At 42.6% G+C, this 10,730-nt stretch overlaps 1 annotated feature.

Moving 5' to 3' along the window:
• Positions 157-451: an enhancer, noted in NCBI's record as "tiled region #5503; HepG2 Activating non-DNase unmatched - State 4:PromP, and K562 Activating DNase matched - State 12:CtcfO". NCBI's record gives its function as "activates a minimal TATA promoter and a strong SV40 promoter by Sharpr-MPRA in HepG2 and K562 cells {active_cell/tissue: HepG2 | K562}" and the evidence as "EXISTENCE:reporter gene assay evidence [ECO:0000049][PMID:27701403]".

Raw genomic sequence — 10,730 nt, 5'->3', positions numbered from 1 at the left:
CCCTCAATCTAAAATAATACATCACAAAAAACCCCTGGCAAGTCAGCAGCAGGCTCATGGACACAGTGGCAAAGACGCCTTTGGCATGTGCTGTTTCTTGCATTATTAGCCTCAGAAACAGCCGAGGCCACGAACAGTCAGAGAAACATGATGTATGCTTCCAAATGGCTGGATTCTGTACCCCTTCCTACAAGCGAAAGGGAAATCTGCACGCATTTAAATATTCCTCTTTCCTGCAGCTGGGGGAGCAGTGCTTCCCTGGGAGGCACTGGCCCTGTACCAAGAGGGCTGCCTGGTGTGGCCGCCCCACCGCACATCAGCTATGGGGTGGCGCCCTCTGCTGCTGAGCTGTGAACAACGCCCCTGAAGCAAGGCTGATCTTCAATCTCCTTAGCCATAAGATACTTAGCAGTAAGTTACAATGTTTCTTTAGAGAAATACACTATGAACCTGATAGAGAACCACAGTGGAAGGCACAGAGCACTGAAACATACACATACCAGAAGCAGAAAAGTGGCACAGTACAGTCCTTCCACCTGTTCAATTTTTGATTGTTAATATTCTAAATATACAGGAAACTACCAAGAATAATGATAAACAGGTACTCAGACTTAACAATAGTTAAATTTTGCCACATTTGCAAAATCTTTTTATTCTAGGAAGAATTTTTTAAAGCTTCAATGTACCCTCCCACCTCAGAGAGTAATAAGCATTATCCTAAAATTGCTATGTGGTCATCCCTTGAATGGTTTTTCACTTTTACTATATATGTATGTATCCATGATAATGCCTAGTATTGTTCTGGGTGTTTTGAGTGTTTTACACAATGTTATATATACTATATTGTGCTTTTAGAGTGTCGGGTTTGTAACATGGTAATATGCTCTATCCCTCACCATCTATGCTTATTATGCCCTTGCACCTTGCTTTTAGCTGTGTTTTCAAAATGTATCCATACTGGTACACATCCTGCTAGGTGGCTACTTTAGTTGCTGCATAGTATTCCACTGTCTTCAGAAGAAACTATCAACAGAGTAAACAGACAACCTATAGAATGGGAGAAAATATACATTGTTAAGGTATATATTAACAAAGGGAAGCCAGGCAGGTGGCTCAGGACTGTAAACCCAGCCCTTTGGGAGGCCGAGGTGAGTGGATCACCTGAGGTCAGGAGTTCGACACCAGCCTGGTCAACATGGTGAAAACTCCGTCTCTACTAAAAAATACAAAAAATTGGCCAGGCACGGTGTCTCACGCCTGTAATCCCAGCACTTTAGGAGGCCGAGGCAGGTGGATCACTTGGTCAGGAGATCGAGACCATCCTGGCCAACAGGGTGAAACCCTGTCTCTATCAAAAATACAAAAATTAGCTGGGCGTGGTGGCATGTGCCTATAATCCCAGCTACTTGGGAGGCTGAGGCAGGAGAATCACTTGAACCAGGGAGTCAGAAGTTGCAGTGAGCCGAGATTGCGCCACTGTACTCCAGCCTGGTGACAGAGTGAGACTCTGTCTTAAAAAACAAAAAACAAAAAATTAGCCAGGTGTGGTACCAGGCGCCTGTAACCCCAGCTACTTGGGAGGCTGAGGCAGGAGTATCGCTTGCACCCTGGAGGTGGAGGCTGCAGTGAGCCATTGCACTCCAGCCTGGGCAACAAGAGTGAAACTCCATCTAAAATAAATAAATAAAAATAAAAAGGAACGCAGCAAGAAGATATAACAATTATAAATTTATATAAACCTAATAGCAGGATCCCAAAGTATATTTTTAAAAATTGACAGAATGAAAGGGAGAAATACTCTTACACTAATACTAGGACATTTCAATACTTCACTTTCAATAATAGAACAACCAGACAGATCAATAAGAAAATACAGGACTTGAACAACACTACAAACCAACTGGACACAACAGACACATACACAACACTCCACCCCACAACAGGAGAATACACATTCCTCTCAAGTGCACATGGTACGTTCTCCAGGATAGACCACATGTTAGGCCACAAAACAAACCTTAACACATTCTTAAAAATTTAAAATAATTCAAAGTATCTTTTCTGATCACAATGTTATAAAACTACAAATCAATAACAGAAGGAGAACTGGAAAATTCACACATGTGGAAATTAAACACACTCTTTCTCAACTGGTCAAAGAAGAAATGACAAGGGAAATTTGAAAATATCTTGAGACAAAGGAAAATGAAAAGGCAACATGCCAAAAGTTATGGGATACAATAAAACAATGTGAAGAGGGAAGTTTATGTAAACGCATACACTGAAAAAGAAGAAACATAACCAGATCATAACCTAATTATACACCTTGAGGAAATAGAAAAGGAAGAGCAAACCAAACCCAAAGCTAGCAGATGGAAATAATGATTACAGCAGAGATAAACAACATACAGATGGAAAAACAATAGAGAAAATCAACAAAACCAAAAGCTAGCTCTTTAAAAGATCAACAAAATTAGCAACACATTAGCTAGACTAATAAAAAGACTCAAATTATCAAAATCAGAAATGAAATTTGTTAAGAAAAAGAGAAAACTCAAACTATCAAAATCAGAAAGGAAATTTACTAAGAAAAAGAGAGAAGACTCAAATTATTAAAATCAGAAGTGAAATTGGAAACAGTATTACTTATTTTATGAAAATAAAAAAGATTATAAGAGAATACTATGAACAGCAGTATACCAATAAATTTTATAACCTGGATAAAATGGGCATATTCCTAGAAACACACAATCTACCAAAACTGACACATTAAGAAACAGAAAATCTGAATAGACCTACAACTGGTGAGGAAGTGAGGAGACTGAATCAGTAATAAGAAACCTACTGGCCGGGTGTGGTGGCTCACACCTTTAATCCTAGCACTTTGGGAGGCCGAGGCGGGCAGATCACTTGAGGTCGGGAGTTCAAGACCAGCCTGACCAACATGGAGAAACCCTGTCTCTACTAAAAATACAAAAATTAGCCAGGTGTGGTGGCACATGCCTGTAATCCCAGCTACTCAAGAGGTTGAGGCATGAGAATCGCTTGAACCCGGGAGGCAGAGGTTGCAGTGAGCCGAGATTGTACCATTGGACTCCACCCTGGGCAACAAGAGCAAAACTTTGTCAAAAAAAAAAAAAAAAAAAAAAACAATGACAAGCACAAGACCAGATTGCTTTACTAGTGAACCCCACCAAAACATTTAAAGAATCAACTCTAATTCTTCTCAAACTCTTCCCAAAAATCAAAGAGGAGGGAACACTTCCTAACTCATTCTATAAAGTCAGCATTACACTGATACCAAAGCCCAATGAAGCCATCACAAAAAAGAAAATTACAGACCAATATGCCTTAAGTATTTAGATGCAAAAATTCTCAATAAAATATTAGCAAAGTGAACCCAACAGCATATCAAAGAAATTATTCACCATAACCAAGTGGAATTTATTCCTGGAGTGCAAAGATGGTTCAACATAAAAAAAACAATCAGTAAAATGCACCACATTAAAAAAATTAAAAGGCCAGGCATGGTGGCTCATGCCTGTAATCCCAGCACTTTGGGAGGCTGAGGCGGGTGGATCATGAGGTCAGGAGATCAAGACCATCCTGGCTAACATGGTGAAACCCCATCTCCACTAAAAATACAAAAAATTAGCCGGGTGTGGTGGCGGGTGCCTGTAGTCCCAGCTACCTGGGAGGCTGAGGCAGGAGAATCGCTCAAACCCAGGAGGCAGAGGTTGCAGTGAGCCGAGATTGCACCACTGCACTCCAGCCTGGGTGACAGAGTGAGACTCCATCTCAAAAAAAAAAGGAAAAAAATTACAGAAAAAACTATGTTCATCTCAGTTGATGCAGAAAAAACAATTTAAAAAATCCAATACTTTTTCATGATAAAAACACAAGAAACTAGGGTAGAAAGTAACTTCCCTATCATGATAAAGGCCATATTTGAGAATCCCACAGCTAACAACATTCTCAGTGGTGAAAGAGTGAAAGCTTTCCCCTAAGATCAGGAACAAGATCAGGATGCACACATGTCACTTCTCTTCAACATAGCCAGAGCACTTATGCAAGAAAAAGAAATAAAGATATAAACATTGGAAAGGAGAGCATAAGAATATCTCTGTTCACAGACAACATAATCTTCTATGTAAAAAACACTAACAATTCCACTCAATGGGGAAAAGGACAGTCTCTTCAACAAATTACGCTGGAAAAACTGGCTATCCATGTGCGTGAATGAAGCTGAATCCTTATCTGACACCATATACAAAAATTAACTCAAAATGGGCTACAGGCTAAAACTATAAATGTTTTAAAAGAAAACACAGGAGAAAAATCTCCATCAACTGAATTTGGAAATGATACTTTGGATATGGCAACAAAGGCACAGACAATGAAAGAAAAAAATTAGATAAATTGAACTTCATGAAAATTATAACTTGTTTTAATTTTAATAGGACCAAAGGATACTACTGAGAGAGTAAAAAGACAAGTCACAGAATAGAAGCAAATATTTGCAAATATTAAAACTCAACAGTAAGTAGTGTGCAAAATGAAATTAAGGGCTGTAAAAAACAATACTGAATAGGCAAAGTACTTGAGAGTTGTTAGTTGGCTCAAGAAATCTAGAGAGAAGTGGAAGTTCAAAGAACGTGGGTGGTGTTGTGTGTCTGGACTAGACCGTGGGCTTCCTGAGGCCAGGGACTCTGCCATATATACGCATGGTAGGCTCTCTGGCAGTATTTGTTGGGTGGATGCATAGGTGACTAGGACATTCCAACTGGAACGCAGGTTGGACCCATACCGCAAACAGTCTTCATTGCTAAGTAAGAGTATCCAGAATATATTAGTATCCAGAATATATTAATATAAAGAATGCTTATAACAGAATAACGAAAAGACAAATTTCAAGAGACATTTTACCATAAAAGACATATGACTGGACAACAAGCACATGAAAAGATGCTCAACATCATTTGTCACTAGGGAAATGCAAACCCAAACCACACTGAGATACCACCTCATACCCCCTGGGAAGGCTAGAGTGAGAAAGATGGTCAATAACAAGTGTCAGTGAAGATGTGGAGAAATCGGAACCCTCGTGCACGAAGTAAATTATAAAATAGTGCAGCTGCTCTGGAAAGCAGTTTGGCAGGTCCTTAAAATGCTAAATGTAGAATTATCATATGACCCAGTAATTCCACTTCTAGGTATCCATCTACTCAAGAGAAATGAAACATGTTCACCCAAAACTTGAACCCAAAAGTTCATGGAGGCATTATTAACAATCACAGTGACCAAAAAAGTAGAAACAACCCAAATGTCCATCCACCGATGACTGGAAAAGCCATATGACATATCCATAAAGTGGAATGTTACTTAGCCACAAAACTGAAGCAAGTACTGATACCTGCTACAACATGGACAGCCCTTGAAAACATTATGCCAAGTGGAAGAAGCTAGTCACAATACATCACATATTGTATGATTCCATTTATGGAAAATGTCCAAAACAGGCAAATCTATAGAGACAGATAATAAATTAGTGGTAGCCTAGGGTAGGGGAGGAATGAAGATTGACAAGGTTTCTTTTTGGGGTGATCAAAATTAGTTCTAAATTAGTTCTAAAAATATGTTCTAAAATTAGTTAGGGTGATTGTTGCATAACTGTGTAAATACACTAAAAAACAGACTTGTACACTTTACACAGGTGAACTTTATGGCATGGAAATTACATCTTAAGAAAACTGCTTACTCGAGGGGAGGCGAGAAGGGAGCAGTTGGTGGACAAAGAGGGAAAAAAGACTTTATTAATAATCTTTCAATACATTCTGAGTTTCAAATCATCTGACTATATTATCTATTCAAAAGCAAATCTAAAATCAAAGGATCAAACAAAATTAAAAACAGACTCCTAATTCTCCCCCAGTTTGGGCTGGGGAGTGGAGAAGGAGGGAGCTACCACCCACCCTGCCATAGTGTGAAGCAGTGGCTGAGTAAAGTCCGGCAGTGGATCCTATGTGACAAGGGCAGCCTTGGGGAGGCTCCAGGGCCCATTCATGGCCTGGAAGCCACCAAAGCCACCGGACCTGAGGGGGAGATAATGCCCGACTGACCTGATGGCAGATGCCCAACTGATCAGAGAAGCTGTCCATGCCCTTCCTCCTCTACTGCTATCTCAACCTACATAAAATCCCAGAACCCCCATCAAGCCCAAAGAGGAGCATGAAAACCCTAAGACTGACACCAGCCAGGTGGAGTAGAAGCTTGAGGGAGAAGCTCCATTAACAGAAAGGGAAGAAAGGGAATTCCTCTCTGACACTAGCTCTGTGGGCTGGGCTCACACCCTGGACTACCGCAGACTGGGATGTAGCACGGAGACTCTTTCCTGCACCCTGAGACCAGAGAGCAGCCAAGGAGGGTGATTCTCAGAGCTCTCTACTTGTGCCTCCTCACACACTTGGCCGGTTAACAGGTGTTGCACCAAGAAAGAGCTCTGTGGTCAATTAGCTTGAAAAATGCTGGGTTAAAGAAAGTCAAAAAATTTTTTTAACTGCAGGACTTCTCAGAGCCTTTTCTTGTGACTCTTCAAGAGGGAGTCTGGCAGGTTCAAAGCACTTTTGTGTTTTTGAGGGATATCTAATAGGAAAGACAGTCTTCTTCATTTTACAGCTGAGGGGAAGTGGCTCAGCCAAGGTCCCAGAGGGGGTCAATGAACAACTGGCCAGGGCTGATTTGGCAGCACCAGACAGCTTCTGCCACTGCCAGGTCACAGTTCTGGCTGGGTTCTGACTCGTGGTGCCAGAGCACTGGGCAATTTCATCCTGTGTCGAGGCAGCCTCTGGTCACTGCCTTATCCAGCTCGCTCAGAAACTGTATGTATTTGAGCCCCTGGTCGGGTACATGTCTGGGATATGGGTGGTGAGCACAAAAGATGATCAGAGAAAAGATTTGCTCCCCGCCTGGGGTGTGGGGACAGAGCAGCAGGGAAAGGCTGTGAATCTAGGCTGTCTCCGGGGTCCATCTGGCGGTGGGTTCCATCTGCACAGCGAGGCACCTGCAGTTTTCCCCTCAATCTGTTGAATGTAAATCAGCTGCAACCCCTCCCAGCCCCGTGCCTGCACCTCGGGTCTCAGGAGCCCAGGTGGGTGGCTGGGGTCTAGGCTCCTAGCATCCCATGAGGCACTGCCCACCAGTGCGCACAGAGCAGTGGAAGGCCTGCCTGGCCCTGGGATAAGGTATCAACTATGGGATGGCCCGAGTCTTCAAGATCTGGCCTTGGTCAAACCCTTGGTCCTGATCTCCTGCCCCCCCTCCGCCACACACCCAAGGCCAGCTCTCCAGCCTCCCAGCATCACTCAGGCCTTTCCTTTTTCCTGGACATACTTATTCATTGCCTGGTCAGCTCCTCCTGCTCCTCCTTCAAGGTTCCACTGAGGTGTCACCTCCTCCAGGAAGCCATCCCTGACTTCCCCAGCCCAAGTCAGGTGGTGTTCATTCTCTGTGTCTCGTTTGTCCTGTCCAACATCTAGCAGAGCACTTGAGAGGCTGAACCCCAGGGCCAGACAGCCTGGGTTTGACCCTGCTGCACACCAGCGGAAGGCCTTGGTAGCAATTTATGAAACTCCTCTGTGCCTCTGTGTTCTCTGTGTAAAAGTGGATGAGAACATTGCCCATCTCACAGGTGGTTATGAGCATGAAGTGAGGGAGCACAGTTACATTCTTAGAGCAGATTCTTGGCACACAGCAAGTCCTCAATACAGGCCGTGGAGGATGAACATTATGGCCCATATTGCACTGCATGGCAACTGCACTCCTCTGTCTTCCCCATCCTCTGAAACCTCCCAGGGGATGGGAAGCCCAGCAACTGTCAAAGGTGGAGTGAGAGGAACGTAAAAGCCAAAGAAAGCCCATGGGCCCTTAGGAAGAAACTGAAGGACAAGGAGGACGCGGGCAGGTGGAGAGGAAGGAGGGAGGCTCCGGGAAGCAGCTGGAGCAGGGTGATAGTGCACAGAGCAGGAGAGGAGATGCAAATGGTCAGGAAACACAGGAAAATGTCCAGTCTACCAAAAATCAGAAAAACAACTGAACAATGAAAAATTCCCAGCTCATAATTATAGAATAGTCCATACAAAGAAAAACACTAAAATGAAAATAAAGATAATATTTAAAAAATTTTTTGTGTAGCTGGCATTACATTGAGGACACAATTGGACCAGGACACATTATGGGACACAAATAAACAAAATTATGTCACCTCTTTCATAAACAGTATGTATCTCCTTTTTAATAAAGAGAGCTGGGGCCGGGCGTGGTGGCTCATGCCTGTAATTCCAGCACTTTGGGAGGCCGAGGTGGGCGGATCACGAGGTCAGGAGATCGAGACCATCCTGGTTAACACGTGAAAACCTGTCTCTACTAAAAATACAAAAAAAAAAACTTAGCCAGGCATGGTGGCGGGCGCCTGTAGTCCCAGCTACTTGGGAGGCTGAGGCAGGAGAATGGCGTGAACCCAGGAGGTGGAGCTTGCAGTGGGCCCAGATCGCACCACTGCACTCCAGCCTGGGCGACAGAGCGAGACTCTGTCTCAAAAATAAATAAATAAAACAGAGCTACAAATATTCTAAGCAAAATATTATATGAATGAAGTCACCTATGAAAATACAGTAGATCAATACTAAACGGAATATACACCAAAATGCAAGGTCCTTAACATTCAAAATGAATCGTGTAAGTCATCCCATTAGCAGAAAAATACAGGAGAAAATAGTAAGATCATTTAGCTGAAAAGTTTTTTAAAGCATTTAATAAACTTTAAAACTGAACCGCAAACACAAAAAAAACTTGAGTAAAATATAAAAAGAGGACTGGCCAGGCGCGATGGCTCACACCTGTAATCCCAGCACTTTGGGAGGCCGAGGAAGGCAGGTCACCTGAGGTCGGGAGTTCGAGACCAGCCTGACCAACATGGAGAAACCCCATCTCTACTAAAAATACAAAATTAGCCGAGCGTGGTGGCACATGCCTGTAATCCCAGCTACTCGGGGGGCTGAGGCAGGAGAATCGCTTGAACCCGGGAGGCGGAGGTTGCGGTGAGCCAAGGTCGTGCCATTGCACTCCAGCCTGGATAACAAGAGCGAAACTCTGTCTCAAAAAAATTAAAAATAATAAAAAAAAGAAGGCAACTTCCAGCCGGGCATGGTGGCTCACACTTGTAATCCCAGCACTTTGGGAGGCAGAGGCGGGGGGATCACCTGAGGTCAGGAATTCAAGACCAGCCTGGCCAACATGGTGAAACCCCGTCTCTACTAAAAATACAAAAATTAGCCAGGCATGGTGGTGGGTGCCTGTAATCCCAGTTACTCAGGAAGCTGAGGCAGGAGAATCACTTGAACCTGGGAGGTGGAGGTTGCAGTGAGCTGAGATCGAGCCATTGCACTCCAGCCTGGGTGACAAGAGTGAGACTCCTTCCCAAAAAAAAAAAAAAGTTGGTTTATAAATATTAATATACTTAATAAACCACTAGTGAAACTAATTAAGGCAAAGAGAAAAGACACAAAAGATCACTATCAGGAACCAAAACAGAAGCCTGCTCTATAGAGTAGTGTATTATTAAGACACTAGGAGGGTTCTGTGAAATACTTAGGACTAGAAGTTTGACAACAGAGATTCAAATAACATTACATTGAAAAATAAACTTCCTAGGCCGAACATGGTGGCTCACGACTGTAATCCCAGCACTTTGGGAGGGTGAGGTGGGTGGATCACCTGAGGCCAGGAGTTTGAGACCAGCCTGGCCAACATGCCGAAACCCCATCTCTACTAAAAAATACAGGCGGGCACGGTGGCTCACACCTGTAATCCCAGCACTTTGGGAGGCTGAGGCAGGTGGATCACGAGGTCAGGAGTTCGAGATCAGCCTGGCCAACATAGTGAAACCCCATGTGTACTAGAAACACAAAAATTAGGCTGAGGCTGGAGAAATCCGGGAGGCGGAAGTTGCAGTGAGCCGAGATCGTGCCACTGCACTCTAGCCTGGGAGAGCGAGATTCTGTCCCCCCAAAAATAAAAATAAAAATAAAAATAAACTTAGTAAAATGGGCACAGAAATAACATAAAACAAGAAAACTCCTACATATACCAAAGGATTTGAATTATTAGAAGTCAAACCAGCCAACAAAAATACTGTTCCACATGGAAAATTCCATACCTAGTCTAAAGACATATTCCAAATATTTAAGGAAGAAAACACCTAAATTTCTCAGACTCTTCTAAAGAGAAGAAATACAGGAAATATTTTTCAGTTTGTTTTGTGAAGCCAGCATTACGTTGGCACCACAATCTGAACAGGACATTAGAAAAAAAATTATACGCCCTCTCTTTCATTAACAGAAATACAAATATTCTAAAAAAAAAAACATATGAATTAAACCACATATGAAAATGTAACACATGGATACCAAGTGGGATATACTAAAAAAGTCAGGATTGGTTAACATCCAAAAATAGCTCATGTAAAATATCCTATTTGCAGAAAAATAGAAAAGCATATGATTTACAGTATATGTAAATATACTGTACAGCAAGAAAGAAATGTTAAATAAAATTAAGGTACAATGACCAGACTAAGAAACAACTATCTGCACTAGAAATGACCCCGTAAAGGATTAATTTATAGAATACCTTTTTAAATTCTTCAAATCAACGTAAGAACACAAATGACCCAA

The sequence above is a fragment of the Homo sapiens genome, chromosome 17 (genome assembly GCF_000001405.40).
Source record: "Homo sapiens chromosome 17, GRCh38.p14 Primary Assembly".
Lineage (NCBI taxonomy): Eukaryota > Metazoa > Chordata > Mammalia > Primates > Hominidae > Homo > Homo sapiens.
The sequence above is the reverse complement of the archived record's forward strand: the minus strand, read 5'-3'. Positions and strand labels throughout refer to the sequence as shown.